This window comes from Homo sapiens, chromosome 12, assembly GCF_000001405.40.
Source record: "Homo sapiens chromosome 12, GRCh38.p14 Primary Assembly".
Classification (NCBI taxonomy): Eukaryota; Metazoa; Chordata; class Mammalia; order Primates; family Hominidae; genus Homo; species Homo sapiens.
Genome location: NC_000012.12, coordinates 75,300,649 through 75,320,677, shown reverse-complemented (window position 1 = coordinate 75,320,677; position 20,029 = coordinate 75,300,649). Strand labels below are relative to the sequence as shown.

The window sequence follows — 20,029 nt, the reverse complement described above, 5'->3', positions numbered from 1 at the left end:
TTAATGTTGTATTTGCTTAGCATTTTCCTGTAGGTAAATAATAATAAATTTATAAGTGGGTATGACATTTCAGCTATTTTTTAATCCATGTAGGAACTATCTAGAATTAAATAAATCACACAGTGATTAGCTGAAAGAGTAACAAAATTAATGGGATTATTTGATCTTTCTTATTTTGAAAACATTTTTCCAGACCCAAATATAAACACAGAAATATGATAATCTGGTGTCTATAATAGTAGGCAAAATAATTTCATAACCTTTTAGCATCTCACCATGTATTGTTTGCAGGATATACCAAATGATATTTAGATCACTGTACAGATGTTGGGAAAACGGAATGAAGGTTTCTGTAAGCACATGCCTTACTGAGTGGCAGCAAAATTGTTCAAAATATTTTTTAAGTAAAACTTTTATTTCCTTGAATGCAAATTCAAATGAGGACTTTTTTTACTTTTGGTTTAAGAGAAAAACAAATTTTATTTGCAGATATTTCCATAAAATTGGTAAGTATATAATAAGAATAAAGAGCTTTATAGAAGCCAATATACACATAAATTCTTCTGGAAAATATGCTATTTTGCCACTGATTTTTTAGAATCTATATTAAAGGTGTGAAATTATTAAGTTTAATATGTTTTTAGTGGTCTTATAGAAGAACTTCTAGTTAAAAAGCATTTCTGTAGATTCTCTGTATAATAATTTTGTACTTAAGGGGTTTGAGGAACTTACTTGATATCTTTTCAAATGTATACCATTATGAGAATCAAAACTGCTATATAAATGGCCTAGTAGTAAATTCTGTTACAATTACATGAATTAACACTAGTAATCTCTGGAAACAGAAGACATCCCTGATATCAGAAATATAAGCCCCTCTTTAAAGCAGAGATCAACATGTAAATTGATTCTCTTTACTGGTAAAGCAAAGCTAAAATTAGAAATATTTAGGATCCAGGGCAAGAACTAAAGGCTATCATTGCTAACTAATCAGTATGATACATGAGTCAACTGATAATCAGTTGAACTGCAAAATAGAAGTTTGACTCTACTTGATTCTTGTCTTCGTTCATTTTGTGTTGCTATAAAGAAATACCCGAGGCTGGGTAATGTATAAAGAAAGAAGGGTTTATTTGGCTTCATGAGTCTGTTGGCTAGAAAGTTGAAGATTAGGCACTTGCTAAGGGCTTCAGGTTGCTTTTACTTATGACGGAAGATCAAGGGAAGCCAGCATGTGCAGAGATCACATAGCAACATAGGAGGCAAGAGAGCATGCGAAGGTGCCAGGCTCTTTTGAACAACCAGCACTCTTGGGAAATAATAGAATGAAAACTCACTCGCCTCCAAGGGGACAACACTGATCTATTCACGAGAGATCGACCTCCATGACCCAAACACCACTCCAACATTGGGGATTAAATTTCAACATGAGGCTTAGAGGGGACAAACATCCAAACCATGGCAATTCTAATGGTAAATTTCCTTTGCTGTGTTTTCCTTCCACTTACTATAAAAGGTGATAAATCTCTTGTTGTCAGATTGTTTTGTTACCTAAAATGCAAACTTATGTGTACATATATATTTTTAAAATAATGAGACATCTTGAAATTAAACATGAAAATCATTAAACTGCAATTTTGTAGAAAATAATCTTTATTTCCTAATTGTACCTATCATTATTCATTTCAAATACCTCTTTTTTCACTCTAAAAAACTTTTAGTTTTAGAAATGATCAATATAATTTATTCATTTATTATTTATTCTTTCAACACATAGTTACTGAATGCTTAACTTTATGCAATACCCCTGTCCAGGCACTGGGGGTAAGTCAGTGAATAAAACAGACAAAAATTTCTGCCTCTAAAGAGCTTATATCCTAATGGAAGGAAATGGCAAGGAGAAAAAAAAAATCAATCAATGGAATGATTAATCAGTCAACCCAGCTTGTATGACACATGGTGAAAAGTGTGGTGTATAGAAGGGATCTAGGAAAGTCAGGGCTTTGGGTATGGGATAGCAGCTTGTATAGGATCACAGGGGAGACCTTTAGATAAGATAGCATTTTAGCATACACCTGAGGAGCAGGCTAGTCAAGAGAAACTCTGTGTCATGAAGTAGGAGTGTTTAAGAAATATTGAGGAGGACAGTGTGGTCAAAGGAGGGAGAGCAAGGGAGAGAAGGAAGGAGGTTGGTAAGAGAGTTAAAGGGAGTTTGGGAGGCAGATCAGGGACGCCACGCAAGCCAAGGGAGGACTTTGCCTTTTTCTGTGAGGCAGAAAGCTACTTCGTTCTTTTGAGGATGGGCTTTATTGAGAATAGGACAAAGATAAAAGCAGGAAGACCTTTGAGGAGACTGTCACAATAATCCAGGCAAAATTTGACGATGATAGCTTGGACCTAGGTGATGGTAGCTTCAGACTTGGAACTTCGTAGTGCCTCACAAAGTCATATTGTTGACAGATTCTGAAGGTAGGGCTAAGAAGATTTTTGAATGGATTGGTTATAGACTTGAGAGAAAGGGAAGACCGAGAATGACTCTACAAGGATGAATGTGCAGGACATTAAACCAGGCACAGAAAGACAAATACTCTATGTTTTCACTTATATGTGGACTCTAAAATAGTTGAACCCACAGAAGCAGAGAGTAAAATATTGGTTGCCAGGGACTCGGGGGGAGGGGTTGGGAAAATGGGGACTTGGTGAACAGATGTGAACTTTCAGTTATAAGATAAATAAGTTCTGAGGAACTACTGTATTTGTGGTGATTATAGTTAATCATACTGTACTGTATTTTTTTTCCTAGAAATTTGATAAGAAGGCAGATTTTAAATGTCTTAATGACACACACACACATATACGCAGACAAATACAAATGGTAACTATGTGTGGTGATGGATGTATTAATTAATTTGATTGTGATAATGATTACATAATCTATATGTATATCAAATCATCATACTGTACACATTGCATATTTACAATTTTTAATGTCAGTTAAATATTTTAACATAAAAAAACAATGGATCTAAGGCTTTTGGCCTAAGAGGGTTACCATTAACTGGAGGTAGGGGAAGACTGTAAGGAAGTCTGATTTTGGAAGGTTGAATTTGAAATATTAAGTGGAAATATCAGTTTTCCTTTTGTAAAAGGTTGAAAACAAGCTGACACAAAATAAAATTATTTCGAAAGTGTTTTCAACCTGAACAAAATACAATGCTTTGCTTATATTTAAATATATGCATTAAATTAATCTGCTTAATTTACCTATAAATGCTAAGCATCTTTTTGGTGCCTGTTTAAATAAATCGCTATTTAGAAAGAAGTATATTAGTGGGTAAATAAATAAAATGATAAAGTATCTTCATAAATTGATTTTTAAATACCTAAGCGAGATTCATTATTCATTTATTGAATAAATATTTATCGAGTGCTCACTTTGTGTTATCCTGTTCTGCCACCAGCGATACAGCAATAAAAATGACAGACAAGGTTCCTGCTTTCATGGAACTTACATTAGGAGAGGCAAGCAATAAATCCTAAATATATATAACAAAATTTTATATAGCAATCAAAGGTCATAAAGACAGAGAGGAGTATTAAGATAGAGTGTGACCTTTCAAGGAAGATCTAAAGTAAGAATAAGCCCTGGGGGGAAGAAATCTTATAATCTATTAAGTTTTTGAAAAGTTGCTATTTTATTGGAAACTTTTTTTTGTTTTGCTGGGGTAGCGTAAACGCATAGTCAAAGAACAATTTGGTATTTATCTCTTTAGCATCCCAAAGAATCTTTTACCTCAAAGGTTACACTCATCTTTTAGTATTTTATTTCTGAATTTAATTTTATAATGGAGTAGACATGCCCACATTTATTAATTTTTCAAAGATTCAAATTGGACAATAATAATTATAATAGCTGCTAACTTTTATTTAATGCTTACTATGTCAAGTAGTTTTTATAAAGTGTTGGACATGTATATCTCTTAATCCTTTTTGTTTCTGGGGAAGTAGTTCCTATTATTAATTCGCATTTTATCTATAAGTCACCTGAGGCACAGAGAGGTCACCTAGCGGGCAAGTGGAAGAGCTGGATTCAAATATAAGCAATCTGATTTTCAGAGCCTGTACTTTTAACTGTTGTACAAATAGTCACTGAGATATTCCGTAGTTATCTATTCCCATATTTTGTTAAAAACAAACATTCTAAATATGTGTATGATGCTTCATTTATTTCTTTCATGCATAGTGTGTGCAAGATGAAGAAGCCAACACAGATGACCTTACGACTCTGGATAGGAAAGCCATCTTACAGCAAGGTTATGCAGACAACTCTTGCGATAAACAACAGAGGGCAAGAAAATTGGATGCAGTAAGTTGTCAGCATTTTTACTTATTTGGTGAGCCATTAATCTTATTTGCTTTCTAAGATTTTAAAGACTGAATGGAATAAATAATTGCAACAGTTGAATTTGAACTCGGGTGAATATTCATTAATGGAAAATTGAGTCCTCATTTTTATAAATGATTGAATTGTATTTGGTATATATTCTGTAAAAAAATTGTCTGGAATCTTTAGGTGTTTGAAAAATTTAGTTTATACTGTTCAAAATGTGAGTTGGCTGCTATTTATGTTAGTGAGTTTATTTGGTGTCACCCCCTCCCCCAAAAAAGCAGCCTGGTTATTTTTTTGAAGTAATGAGCTCCTAACATTAGATAAATTCAGGCCAGTTAAGGAAATTCCAGAAATAAGTTATTTTTCTTTTTTAGGAAAAGAAACTCCAGATGCTCAATATTAACTTTAAATTATGTCTTTTACAGAATCAATTAGGTTGGCAAGTATGGTTTAGACCAGTTCTGGCACAAACAGATAATTAAAACATTTCTGTAATGTTCTGGGGTAAGGGACCAAGCTGCTTGGAGTTGGAGGTCACTGACCACCCCAGAAACCCAAGTGATTAATGTCTTAGGCATACTTATAACAGATTGTTGGAATGCCAGTGTGGTGGATCACAAGTTGGGAAAACTCTGGTTTCAATAGCATAAATAGTAACAAAGCAATATGGATTTAGTTAGTTACATTACTATTATCATTGAGTGGCAATTCAATATATATTTTATTTGGGTCACAATCATCCAGAATCAATTATGTTCTGAATTAACAGTAATATATAATCAATCTCTGGACTACGTGAACTGATTTTCTGTGGATGTCCCAAGTTGCAAATTTGTGAGTTCTTTTACTTAAACCACATGCACATTATTTTTTTGGTGCCTATTATTACTTGGATATTTATGTTTAATAGAATGAATATTATCAGGATTATCCTAAAAATTAAAAAAGCTACTTTATAAGGAAAATAGTGTTTCAATTCAGGCTTATTTTGATATATCCCTGAAGTTATATTTGAAATGGGTATTGCAATAATTAAGGCTCATTGGGTATTGTTCTTGATGTAATTCAAAGCAATCTGGATGTTAATGGATTTCTTTTCCTTACAACTACATTATTAGGAGCAATGTATCTAAATTCATTATCAAGTTTTATTTTATTTTGATAGTACTCATTTAACTGTCTCCTCCTTCCCCTAAGGAAACGTTTACATGAGTAAGCTTTCAGGGCATCTGAAATTAGCACCTATTTGTTTTAAAATGTAGGTGAAAACTTCTTTATTTAATTTTAAACTACTTAAGTGACAATAGAAGCAGTGAAACTACGGATTTTGTGTCCATCTCATCTAGCTCCTTTGTCATTTTGTAGTGTTGACAGATCCTTCCATCAGTGTCACTTCTGCTTGTAATCTGCTTTATGTTTACACAGATCTCTAAATCAGTGTGCCTACGGGTTCTAACCTTTCCTACAAAGTATAAACCACCACAAGCTTCAACACTGAAGATGGGCTTTCTGCATGGGCTCTATGGTGTTAATTAATCTCCCCTCTTTGGTTTCTGTCTGGGTTTTACATCTGTGTTCAGCCGATGTGGATCTTTTCTGTGTATAATTTTAATGTTTTAGTCAGTGTCCACTTTATGAATCACTCTTAGATATTAAAAAAATACCTTGCTTTACTTTGAGGTTGTGCTAATTTTTAAACATTTTAATTGCTGTTTTAAATTTATTACTAAATAAAAATCTTATAAAGCATCATGAGCTTAGAGAGTGACACAAGATGTATTAAATAACATAAGCTTTATATAGGACATATTAAATGTGTAAACTACACATTTTGAATTTCTACCAAACCAAAAAACTAGATTCAGTGTAGGCTAAATAATATTTAAATAATGTTAAATAACAGTGTTTAATAATAATTTAAACATTATCAATAAATGAAAGTGTTAAATAACCTACATTATGTAGCCTATAATATAGGCTAAATAAGAGTGTTATTTAACCTACGTTAAATTTAGTTTTAACATTCTTATTAAATTTTGGTTTAACATTATTATTAAAACTAAATTTAGGCTGGCCATGGTGGCTCATACCTATAGTCCCAGCACTTTGGGAGGCAGAGGCTGGTGGAGCACTTGAGACCAGGAGTTCGAGACCAGCCTGGCCAACATGGTAAAACCCCGTCTCTACTAAAAATACAAAAGTTAACCAGCCGTGGTGGCATACACCTGTAGTCCCAGTTACTCGGGAAGTTGAGGCATGAGAATCACTTGAATCTGGGAGGCGGAGGTTGCAGTGAGCTGTGGTAGTGCCACTGCACTCCAGCCTGGGCAACATAGCAAGAGCCTGTCTCAAAAAAAGCCAAAAAAACTAAATTTAGTGTAGGCTAAATAGCATTTAAATAATTGTGCCCAACTTTTCCGATTTTCTTACAAGTTTTTACTTTTTGTTTTTATGATATGTCTTTAGACATTCTTATTTGATATTTTGTCTCAATTTTAAATAAAGCACTTTTTCTAAGGTTACAAAGCCTCTATCTTAATTTCATTTATTGGAGTGATCAATGGGGATGACAGTAATTTACATTCTAAAAATAGAACAAGCTTTATTTTGACCTCTTAATTTTTTAACCTCTTTTATTTACCTTTCTAAAGATACATTTTAGTCATTATAGTTGCAGGATAATATAATTTGAATTAAATGATTACCAGTATTTCAGTTAGATATGACCTAAAAAATAGTAAAAATAGTTTAAGAGGAATTGGAAAAGTGAAAAATAGTATTAAGAAAGCTTAATCAAGCTAGTAATTGAGAAAAGTTTATTAAATATTATTGATGCATTATATGCAGAGAAAATATTATACTTTTGATGAGGAGAGTTTTTGTTTGTTTTTCCTTGTTTTGGATATTTTATGAAAGGTCAAACAATTCAAACTCAGTTTTGCCTTCTTTTGCTATGAATAGTGTTAGACGAAGCTTATTTTGTGTCAGTGTTGGTAGCCTTCTTGGAGCAGGTTAAGATGCCTTTTGCAGGACATCTCTTGAGGGGAGGAATAGAGTGGAAGGATGCCATAGTCTCTTTCTCCTTTAGTCTGCTCCATAAAATGCAAAGGCAGCTCATGAAAATTCTGATGATTTTTACTGAAATTTAAGTGTATTATTTCTTAGAAAATAAATGATATTTGTAGATTAAATGATTGAAATTTAAATTTAGTAATGATGGAAAGTAATCTATAATCTATAATAGTAATCTATTTCCATCTATATCTAAGACGGAAATCAGAGATATTTAATTTATGTTTTAGAACTTTTGTGTTAAGTATTGTATGGTTCTGCTTTATGGATGGTGAAGTTGTCTTTATTTAATCTTCCCAGGAAATTGTGGCTGCAGAGAAGAAGAAACAGATTGTTGCAGAGCAAGTGATGATAGACCACTTATCTAGGTGAGAATTAGCAACTGGTAATAGAAATCAATTCAGAAAGTTTTCATTAAATTTATTTTCATGCATGACATTCATATCCTTGGTCAATTAAAGGGTGGCTAACTCAGAGGTTCCCAAACTTTCTCTGTTTACTGCACCGTTAGTGTTTTAGTCATTTTTTTTCACAGCACTCTTAGACGAATAGAAATACCTAACAGTTCTATTTGTTAAATATTTTTCTCTAAACAACTTAATAAATATTTATTTCCTAACAACTAATGACCATTTAAAAAAATAATACACATAAATTGAAAGAAGATATCCTTACTTTATTCTTACTAAGGATCTGTATGCATCTTATGGGCACTGCACAGTGTCTCAAATCCTAGAATCATTTACAATGCTGCCACTTTCACTTTATATTCCATATTGATTTTCACCTGATATTTGCTTTTTATCATAGCAACTATAGAAAACTCAGCTCTGCAAAGATGTAACATCATTGAAGGAGTATAGTGTGCTGTCTTGTTGAAACTGTGAACTACCCTGAGGCTGAACTAGTAGTTTACTTGATGTGCAAGTGATGTCAAGTATCACTGAGTTTCCCTCAAAAATTAAAAATATCCCATAGTACCCCTGTGAGTTCACTGTGGTACCTCAGGGTTCCTTGGTGCAGTTCAAGAACTGTGAGACTGTTAAGAATTTTAAAACCCCTTAGAAAACTAAAGTTTTAACATATGCAGTGCTGAATTGCTTGATAATATGGAACTATGCTAGAATTTCTGAAGAGGTTGGAATAATCTACTTCAAGGAAAAAGTAAGACTTAGCTTTGAAAAAACTGTTTAGTTGTGTGGCAGAAAGAATGCATGACAGAAATAATGGTGGCTGTTTCTACATGCATGTTTTTCAGTAAATTCTTTGAAATAATTATACCTAGAGTCTCCCATGTCCCTCCTTCCATTGTCTCATGAACTTAGTGTTTTCACCTCCACCATCCATGCCTCCAACAACTTTTTTCCATGAGTAGTGACATCCATATTGCTAGACTAATGATTTCTCAGTTCTCGTTTACTTGACCCATCTGCAGCAGTTGTCTCATTTGAAACCTTATTTTCTTTGAGGCAGGTTTTTTTTTTTTTTTTTGTTTTTTTTTTTGTTTTTTTTTTTCCTGCATGGCTTCCTGCACGTGACACGTGACTGTTCTCCTACCTTTCTCCCCTTCTCAGAATCTCTCCTGGTTCTTCTTCATCTTCCCTACGTGGGTGTGCCCAACAGCTCAGTTATTGGACCTCTTTTGTGTTTGCTTTTTAAGTGATCTCATCCAGTATCATGCCTTTAAAAACCAGCTATATTCTGATGCTTCTCTAAGATTTCAATTTAACTTTCTCCAATCTGGGTGTCTGAAATTTTATTGCCCTCTCTTCCTCCATGACCAAATCTTTAATTTTCCTCCATAGTAACTCAATTCTTCATGTTACTAAGACCTAAAATCCTGGTGATATTTTGATCCCTTTCTTTCTCTCAAATACTATATCCAGCTTGTCAACAAACATGCTCAGTCCTGCTATCAACATAGATTTACTCCCTCTGCTGCCACCATCCTGTTCAAACTTATTTTGTGTGTCTCCTGGATTATTTCAGGGACTGCTTAACTGGCCTCATTGTTTCTGCATTTGCCTCTTACTGGTTTATTTTCAACCCGGCACCCCGTAGTTAATCCATTAAAAGGCAAGCCAGATAAAACCTTCCAGGAATTTCTCATTTTAATCATAGTGAAGCCTACGAGGCTCACGTATTAATTATGTGTCACCACAAAACTCAGTAGCTTAAAAGAACAGTAATTTTTGCTCATGTGTCTTTAGGTTAGCTATCAAGGCTTGCCATGGCTGGAAGGGCCTTACTTTTTATTTTGACCAGTTGTATATGAGCAAAAGCAATGGTCTTAGGTTTGATCTTAGGCTTTAAATGATCTCATGTGTTTCCATTTGCCCTTTAGTGCTTCTGCTACCTTTGAGAGAAGAACACTGCTTGGCTAGCCTGGTAGTCTCAAGAAAAAGGTCCTTCTACAAATGCCACTGAGCTACTTAGCTGAAACCATCCTAGATAAACAGATTTCCAACCAATCCGCATTTGCATGACTTAGTTCAGTTGAGATTAGCAGAGTCGTATAACTGTGTGTAACTGACCAAAGCAAGTCAAAAGCTCAAGGTCAAGGGGTGAGAAAGTGCATACCACCTTTAATGAGGCCATAGCAAGGAAATGGATCAGGATTACTAAAAAATTCAGGCCAATAACACAGTCTATCCAAGCCCACCATTGGACCTTGGACCTTGGACTTCTCTCCCTCTTACCTATTCTCCTCTAGCCATTTGACTTATCCCTGTTCTGGAACATACCAGGTTCCATTCCTGTCTTAGGTACTTTGCATTTATTTTCCCCTCTTCTTGGAATGCCTTTTCCCCAGAAATTTATATGTCTGCTTACTCATTTTAGCTCATATCTTTACTTAGAAGTCACCTTGGTGAGGCCTACTTTGGCCTTACCATAAATAAACCATAAATACATTTAAATAAATAAATTGACCATAAATAAATTTATGATGCCTTTCTCAAAACTTTGTATCTTCTTACCATTTCTTTTTTTCTTCCATAGGGGCATGTAATTCATGTTGTATTTTCTCTGTTTATCATGTTAATTATCTTTCAGCCTCTTCAGAATGTGAGCTTCATGAGGGCAGAGCACTTTGGAAGTTTTGCTCACTATTACACTCCCATTGCCTAGTCTAGTAGCTGTATAGTAAAACTTGTTGAATAGGTAAATGAATGAATGAACTGGAAAAGAGGACTTAAATGCAGTCAGCAGAATTTGGTTTTAGGTTTAGCTATGTGACTAATTTGCTGTTTGAGGTTTCATATTTTCCTTCTCTATGTCTTGATTTTTGCTTCTGCCAAATTAACATTAAGATTTCTTATAACTCTAACATTCTGTGTATGTATATTTAACACAGAACTGATAAATAAAGTGTGAGAATAGAATAGGTGCCACTTTTTTATAAATGCCAGCCTTTTTCATTTGGGGGTTTAAAAAATATCTTAATGCTCAATTTAAAAAGAAGATTTAGTTCCTAACTTGGCACACAAATGAACAGAATCTACAGTATATGGTAGAGATGACTAAAGCTTTTCCTGAATGTTCCAGCAATTGAAATAACTCAATAAATTCATAAGTTCTTCTATCTTTGAATTGTTGTTTCATTTTCATAGTTTTGAAGGTTCATGATACCCTTTAAAAAATGTCTACTCATTTATTCTTTTATCCAGTTAATCATCAAATTTATTCAGACTTAGGGTATTGTCAGGCAAGTAGGAAAAGCCAGAGAGGGCAAGATTGTTAAAAGGTGTGTACAGGATTATATTTTGATGAATCATGGAACCCAACCTGGTTAAGGAGGAAAGTAAGTGTTACTGGATGGTGCCGTGTAGTTCCAGGTTCTTGGTGTCCTGAACAAAGAACTGGACGAGACACACGCAGATAGCGAAGCAAAGCAGCAGAAGTGTATTAAGTGAAATATTACACTCTTGGAGTGGGGGAGCGGACTGAGCTCTGTGAGATGAAATCTACCTTAGTTTGGTACTTTGGGTCCTTTTATGTGTTTTTTTTGTTTTCTTCTCTTCCCAAGGATGCCTAATCTCTAGCCCGTGTCTGCCTTTTGATTGATAGATGCTGCTTAGTTAATTTGGCCCTTGTGTGCTTGTGTGTCATCTCCATCCCATAATTCTAAGTACATGCGTGATATGCAGTCCATATGCATGAACCTTAAGTAGCTAATTACCATATTGGGTCATTTTAAGCATACTTCTTTTTAATGAGCATGCCCATCTCTGAGGAGCTGCCCCTGACAGGTTTGGTCCAAACGTAGCTGGCCATGGGGGCTCCTTACCCCCTTTTTTTTTTTTTTTTTTTTTGAGACCGAGTCTCGCTCTGTCGCCCAGGCTGGAGTGTAGTGGTGTGATCTCGGCTCACTGCAAGCGCCTTACTCATTTTTTTTAATCTCACTTTTGTTTTGGCTGCTGAACCTCTGCTTCTTATCTCGCTTCTTGCTCAGTCACCCCTTCACCTTGTTTCTGCTCTCATGCTTTTACTCATTCTGTTCTTTATCCAACTTTTAATTCCTTTTGCTATTTTCCTGCCTCATTTCCCCTATTTTCCTGCCTCATAAGGATATGAGGATAACCTGTCATTCTTACCCTTAAAATAATATTAATAACAACAATAACAAATCAAAACTATTACCAGTGGAGGGTGTCCAGGTTCTTTGCACTTTGAACAAAGAATTGGACAAAACACAAAAGCAAAGCAAGGAAAGGATGACGCAACAAAAGCAGAGATTTATTAAAAATGAAAGTATACTCCACAGGGTGGGAGCAGCCCACGCAAGTGGCTCAAGGGCCTGATTGCAGAATTTTCTGGGGCTTAAATACCCTCTAGAGGTTTCCCATTGGTTACTTGGTGTACATGTAAATGTATGTAATGACAAATACATACATACATTTCTTTCTACTTTATCTATTTACATACTTTGTCTACTTTGTCTATGTAAATGAAGAAGTGGCCTGCAATCAGTCTAATTGGTTGTGGAAAGTGACCAATCAGAAGCTGAAGTGAAGTTACAAAGTTGCACCCTATGCAAACATCTGATTGGTCATGGAAAGTGACCAATCAGAGGCTGAAGGGAGTTACAAAGTTAGCCTTCTATGCAAATTTAGACTTGGCCCACAACCATCCTGATTGGTCTTGGGAGGGGACCAATCAGGTATTTTCAATTTTTCATCTGCCACACAGGAAAAGGGGGTGGTTGCAAAGGGAGTAGCCTCTGGTCCTGTTGTTACTTGGGTGTGGAAAGTTGGGATTTTCCTTTTGATTTAGTTCTAGGAAGTCAGTGTGAATGGACCTTAGGTTTCCTGCCTCCAGACCCTATTCTTCTGCCTTAAAAACACAATGACACCTATGTTCCTTATATTATTAATTGAATCTCATTTCACATTGTTCAGTTACTATAGATCTTTCTACTTGGTGACCTCAAATCCAGTTAGTTTTCTAGTTCTGTTGGTGTTTCTTGAATTTGTTCTTTCTACTTTGTCTATTTATTTACTTATTATTATATTTTGTTTGTGTTCTCTTGTATTTATGTATTTTATAGCTTTGGGGTACATGAGATAATTTAACAATATAATTTGTAAAGATCAAGTCAGTGTACTTGGAATATCCATAACCTTAAATATTTGTCTTTTCTGTATGTTAGAAACATTTGAATTATTATCTCCTAGCTACTTTAAAATGTACTATATATTATTGTAACTATAGTCACCCTACTGATCTATGGAACACTGGATCTTTTTTCCTTGATCAAACTGTGTGTTTACTGCCACCTTAGTGCAGACCCTTACTATCACTTTTCTAGCCCATTGCAATGCCACCTGATGGGTTATCATGCCTCTATATTTATTCCTATTCAGTAAAATATGCAGTAAAAGGGGAATTCGGAGGCAAAGCCTCAACTATTGAGTGCTTCTATAATACTTAGTAGATTATAGGTACTCTCCTAAACAATATGTATATGTTAACTAATTTATTTAATCTTCACAGCCTTTCTGTGTGGGAGACACCAATATTCTTTCTTTTATTAATGAGAAAACTTTGGCCCAGAGCCAAATGACCAGATAGGGCTACACAGCTAATTATCGCGGCAGGCAAGGATTGAATCCAGGCAGTCTAGTTGCAGAGTCTGTACTCTCCTCCATTACAATGTGTTCAGTCCTCAGGTGTGTCCTCACTGTGCTGTCTACTCCTGTGGCCGTACACATATTGTTCCTCTGCTTGTGGTACCCTTACTCCTTCTCCTCTGAGTGCTAACTTGTAGTCAATTTTTTTTTTGGATTATATCACAAGAATCTTTAATGTTTACTTTAACATTGACTCCTGGTGGGGTTGAAAATGTGTTTAGTAAAGTGTGCCAAGTGCCCACATTGAGGCCAGTTCCGTTCAAATCAGTTCACTCTGCGAGGATGTTTTCTGTGCCCAGCAAGGTCATGAAGAGAGGGGCCTTGACTTTTCTCTTGGTTAGGCCAGCTTTGCTGGTGAGTTCTTCCAAACTTTCCAGGAGCAGCCTACCCCAATACACATCATCAGTCCCATACGAAAGAATAAGATGGAAACTTTCTCAATATATTTCATCAGTTTAGCACGTCTCTGGGACAAAAATCCAAGAAAGGTAGCACGAAAGCGAAAGCGCCAACCAAACTTACTTATAAACAAACATGCGTATGTCCTAAACACTACACAGTAGTACCCAAATGACAACATTGCATTAAAAGTTATAAAAGCACTGTACTGTAAAGTTACACGTGAATACTGCACTGTAAATCCTGAATACTCTAGTGACCCACCCCCACCCTTCCACAGGCCTGGTGAGGGTCAGAAACCATTCACCGGCCTCCAGACCTTGCTAGTCCTCAGAGACACTGTTACAGGAGCAGTAGGCAGTGGGATTAGCCTCCCGCAGAGCTCTGGCCTCCTCCATAGCTTCCCAGTATCCGGAAGGCCTGCCTGGCCAGGAACTCCATGATTTGCATGTTCGTAATTTCGCGGCTGGCCCGGGAACACCAGCTGCTCCACGTAGGGGCCGGGCCGGTACTTCAGGTAATTCTGCTGGACGAACTCCTCGGTGATGAGCTTCCGCACGTTCCCGAATGTGGAAGGTGGAGTGCTTCTTCCAGGGCCGCAGCCCCAGGACGCGCAGCACGTTCTAGACGGCGCTGTCTCTGGCGCCGCGGCCCTTCAAGTAGAATGAGGCTCAGGATCATGAGCAGGAGGCCTGTCAGGACCCTGCTGTTGCTCAGAGCCACCCTGTCCATGCTCCTCGGGCTCCAGCGCTTTCACCAGCGCAGACTTCATGGTGTGGAGGTTGGACAGCCTCAGGTGCAGCCTGGTCAGCCTCTGCGGTGCATCCCGAACACCTGGGCGAGGATGAGGCTGGTGAGCCTGAATATGCCCCTCCATCACTAATTGTAGCTGCCGACGACATCCTTCACCATGTCTGGAAACCAGATGATCATCTTCTTCTGGTCCTTGACCCGCATGTACCACACGAGCTCGTCGTGCGCCTTCTGCAGCAGCTGTGCCGGGCCAGACTGGGCAGTGCTAGGGGCCTGGTGGGCGCCGCCCTTCTCCGCGGCCTGCTGCTGAGCCTTCCGGTCGCTCGGGGCCTGGGGCAGTGGTCGGGTCTGGAGGAGGGCTCTGCGGCTCTGCCAGGGTCGCGGACGGAGGAACGCCTACCGGAACCCTAGGGTTGCTATGCACCTCGGAGCTGGAGGCCTCGGCTGCAAAGTTGGGGTCGCTCAGATCCTTACTTTGTTCCAACCGGTCTGTGCCCTCTGACAAGAGCCTCTGCGTCCAGGAGCACTTTGAGTCTGCCCTCCCTCCGCCGACTCCTGGAGAGGAAGTCTTGTACTCTCACCTTTTAAGAATCAGTGCAAATATCTCCTCTTCTAGGATGCCTTTCATAAACTCTTCTCTCTGTCTTCTAGGAATTAAGGTATTCTCTTCTATGTTTGTTCATTGAATTTCTGTTGTGGCATTTATGGCTTTATATTTTTATTTTACTTTACCTGTGTTCTCTCCTACACACCTCCCACATGATCAGAAACCAGCACTGTGTCTGCTTGTTTAAAGAATAGTAAAATAAAAACATGGAGCTCTTAGCTCCCTCCGAAATTTCAGTTCCGTTTTGGATAATACTTCTGGAAAAAGAGATAGGAATATTTACTTTCTTATGGAAAATATTTTTTAATAAATTTATTTAATAAAAATATTCTGACAGTGTTGTAAATTTGCATTTGGTATATGAGCTTTTAGAACTGCTTATAAATATGTGAATTTTAAAGTAATGCATGATCATATTTAATTGTTGGACTTTTTATTTTCCTGTATAGGGCTGTCATCAGTGATCCAGAGCAAAATTTAGCCATTGAGCAAAAAGAAAGTGATCATATCCTTCCAGATTCAAAGATGACACCTCTTCGATTTAGAAAAAGAACACTACATGAAACAAAGTAAGAAGATTTTAATTACATAAAATGAGGATGCACTATGTTCTAAAAGTATTTTTAAAATGTACTTCTGTGTCTAGCTGGAGCTTTTGTGTTTGTTTCACTTTTTTCTATATAAAGAAAAGTGGAATTTTTTGAGTTCAGCTCCCAGTTCTGCTACTTCATGATATTAGGGGCAATACCTTATTTTACTCTCTTTGCCCTCCAGATTTTTTATTTGTAATTTAGGGGAAAAAAAGCCACAACCTTTGGAGATAATGGATGTGAAAATGTATCATATAGTTACCGAGAAATTTTACGTGTGCTATATATACTGGCTAAATCTCATTGGCATATTAAAACTTGGTGTTGACTATAAGATTTGTTTTGCATTTTACGTTGTAGCTTTTTCAACCTTAGAATTGGTATGATCTTTTACAATCCTCTGATGCTGTCCACTTAAATTCTTCAACAGTTTCACTGACATCTAACCTCGGCTTTAGTAGACATAAAAAAATCTACCAGTACCCACAGTAGCTTTTTTATATTTTCAGACTACTGTAATTCTTAGTACTTTCTTATCTTTTTTTAATCGTTTTGTCCCATTCTTATTTTCTGAAAGCCATTGCTTTTATCCATTTAAATATTTGGAAGCATTATGTGTTAGTTTCCTATTGCTGCTGTAACAATTACCATGAGCTTAGTATTCTAAAACACAGATTTATTGTTTAATTGTTCTGGAGTTCAGATGCCTAAAATCAAGGGATTGATAGGGCTACATTCCTTCTAGAGGTTTTAGTGGGGGTGAAGCTATTTTCTTGCCTTTTGCAGCTTCTAGAAGCTGCCTTCATTCCTTGGCTCATGGCCCCTTCCTCCATCTTCAAAGTCTTCAATAGCTGGTCTTATGCTGCATCACTCTGGCACTCTTTTTCTATAGATACATTTCTCTCTATGTTCCTCCAATAAGGACATGTGTGAGTGCGTTGAATCTACCCAGATAATCCCAATAATCTCTCCATTTTAATGTTCTTAATTTATCACATATGCCATGTCCCTTCTACCATATAATGTATTCCCATGTTCCAAGGATTAGGATGTAGACATGTTGGGCCAGAGGAGGTCGTCATTTATGTACCACACATCTAAACTGTCCTTTTTAAAAGTCAACTTTCATTGAAATAAAACGTACATTCACAGTGAATAAATTTTAGGTGCACAACATAGGAATTATCAAAAACAGAACAACACTCATGTACCAAATGCTCAGATCAAGAAACAGACAATTGCCAGTACCCCGAACCTCCCCTTATGCTGCCTCCCAGTTACTATTCATTTCCCCTGCTATACCAGGTTAACCTCTCTATCTTAATATCATAGATTAGAACTGCCTGGTTATGAAATTTATGTAAATGAAATTACAAGAAATCTAGACTCTGTGTCCAGCTTGTTTTTTCTCTCTAATGGCACTTATTTGTTAATTTAATTGTATATAAGATGTACAACATGATATTTTGATATACATAGTGAAATGTGTTTGTCTTCTTTTACCCAACATTAGGTTTGTGAGTTTTATCCATGGTGTTATTTGTAGTTGTCTTTTTTTATTCTCATTGTTGTATAGTATTTCATTATACCACATGCCACAACCTATCTATTCAGAGGTTGATAGATATTTGGCTCTTTGTGAATAGTGCTGCTATGAACTTCCTTGTTCATGCCTTTTGGTAAACATATGTACTCATTTCTGCTGAGTATATACTTAGAAGTAGAATTGTTGGACCACTTAGTATCCATATGTTCAGCTTTGAAAGATGCAGCCAAATAGCTTTCCCAACTGGTTGCTGAAATTTACACTCCCACCAGTAGCAGTATGAGTGTTCTTGTTGCACCATATCTTTGCCAGAGCTTGGTATTGTCTGCCTTTTTTTATTTGAGTTCTTCTTATGGATGTGTATTAGTGATTTTAATTTGCATTTCACTGGAGACTAATGTAGTTGAGTACTTTTCCATATGTATATAGGCCATTTTGATATCTTCATACAAAATTTCCATTCAAGCCTGTTGAGTTGTCTGTCTTCTTAATATTTATTTGTGGATCTTATTTACATGTTTTAGAAATGAATCCTTTTTCAACTATATTTGTCGCACATATCTTTTCCTACTCTGTAGTTACCTTTTCATTCTCTTGATTATATCTGTCTCAAAAACTAAAATTAGAAGTAGGAGTTTTAACATAGGCCAGTTTTCCTCTTTCCCTGTATTGTTAATGTCCTTTGTATATTCCTTAAAAATAATCTCTGCCTACCACTAAATCATTTTCCCTCTGACTTGTAATGCCACATATGTCATATGTCAAGTTGTTATATGCATGGTTATGACATGACATATTTATATGCATGCCAAATGCATGGTTGGTTTCTAGGCTTTTTCTTCAGTATCATCTGTTCCCTGTGTCAGTATTATCCTATCTTAATTAGTATTGCGTTGTATTAGAGTAAATACCTACAGCTTGTTTAAAGCTAATCTAGGTCCATGAAAAATCCTGTGGGGGTATCGATTAGAATTATTGAATTTTTAGCTTTCACTCCTCTTATGCCCCATTTATTTTTCCCAGAGGAGGAGAGAGTTCTGCTACATAAATTTAGAGGCAGGAATTGGCGTGAGTAGTACAGCCCTTCCTCTCCCCTTTGTTTGGGAGGCAGCAGCACATTCTGCCCTGTGCATTGTTTTAGAGGGTCCCTCCCCAGTGGAAATGAGTGGCTTAGTCTGTTTAATTATAGTGGTAAGGAGTAGCTTGTGGTTGCTGCATACCTAAGCCATGGTTTCTAGTAGCTTTATCAATACTAAATTCATACTTTAATCTTCAGTCTTTCTGATTCTTCTTTATGTATTGGTAGAGAACTTGGGTTCCTAAAAGCAATTGGGCATCTAAAACCCAACATGGCACTTTGCATTTTATAATGTAAATACATATTTACTTTTATCTTTTCAAGAAGACTATAGGGCCCTTGAAGCTATTACTTCCATTTGTCACTGTTAAAGTGAGTTCTGTTTACTATTGAAAAGCAATATAATGTAATGGTTAAGAGCAAAGTTTTTTCTAGCTCTGCCATTTACTAATCATATGGCCCTGGACAATTTACTCATCTGTCTATGTTTCTGTAAAATTTATTTGAAAAATGGGAATAATAACACCTCAGAGTTATTATAAGTATTAAATAAACCAATACACATTAAAGTGATTTTAACAATGACTAGTATCTGGGAAATTCTCAATAAGTGGTAGCTGTACTGTTGCTGTTATTGTCTCAGCATTTAGAATTGTTTCAGGCACATAGTGGGCATTCAATAAACACATTAATCCCAGCAGATTAAACTGAATTGAGATGGTTACACTCCCATGGCTCTACTCTGTGCTTACAAACTCTCATTTGGTTTGCAGGCTCACGTTTCCTGTTCCCTGCTTCCTTTTTGTAGATACCTAGATTTTATAGAGGTGTAGCTTTCAAGATCCCAGTGACCCACACACTTACTTACTAATTACATTACTGCCATTTCATTATACCTGCAGTTTTATGGAAGGAATATTATTAAATTATTTGTGAAGCAAAGGAGAAATATATCATTTAGTCTTCAGATCTCTTAATATAAAGGAGATTATTGGCAGTAGGGTGTTTTGGTTTTGCTTTATATTGTTAAATAGAATTTTAGGGCTGGCAGCCTTTATGAGATCATTCAGTACTGTCTGAAGGCCATAAAGATTAAATAACCTATTGATCTGTGACAAAGTTCGAACTTCATTCAGCACTCTTCCCCACTCTTTAGTTATTCTGGTAAGGAATGTTTTCAGCTACACATCACTGAAAACCGATTGATAGTGGCTTAAACAAGTCAGGATTTATTTTTCTTATATAGTTAGCTGCTTGGAGGTAGGCATTTACTGGTTTTGGTTCAGTAGCTTAGTGATGTTACCGCTCTAGGCTGGCTTTCCTATATCTTTTTGGTCGTTCTGATGTGGTGGATTGATCTCATGGTGGCTATAGTGGCTCCTAGCATCACATCCCTGCCACGTTCACAGGCAGGAACTCTTCTCATGCCACTCTCTTACCAGGACAAAAGAAAGTCTTTCCTG

At 36.5% G+C, this 20,029-nt stretch overlaps 1 protein-coding gene and 1 pseudogene across 33 annotated transcripts in view; one reads left to right on the top strand and one right to left on the bottom strand.

Moving 5' to 3' along the window:
• The window catches only part of CAPS2 (calcyphosine 2), a 114,923-nt gene that overhangs the window by 70,224 nt on the left and 24,670 nt on the right, over nt 1-20,029 (top strand). For 26 of the 33 annotated variants that reach the window (NR_149156.2, NR_149159.2, NR_149160.2 and 23 more), the window contains 3 exons: nt 4,244-4,366; nt 7,763-7,830; nt 15,802-15,921. Coding sequence is in view for 25 of the 33 variants with exons in the window: in NM_001355026.2 (NP_001341955.1) it covers nt 4,244-4,366; nt 7,763-7,830; nt 15,802-15,921 (311 nt within the window). In the remaining 8 variants the exon portion in view is untranslated. Of the gene's footprint in view, nt 1-4,243; nt 4,395-7,762; nt 7,831-15,801; nt 15,922-20,029 lie in introns of all 33 variants that reach the window. The other 7 variants (NR_149158.2, NR_149155.2, NR_149161.2 and 4 more) reach the window with 1 other exon arrangement.
• LOC100419702 (necdin, MAGE family member pseudogene) lies at nt 14,119-15,313 on the bottom strand (annotated as a pseudogene).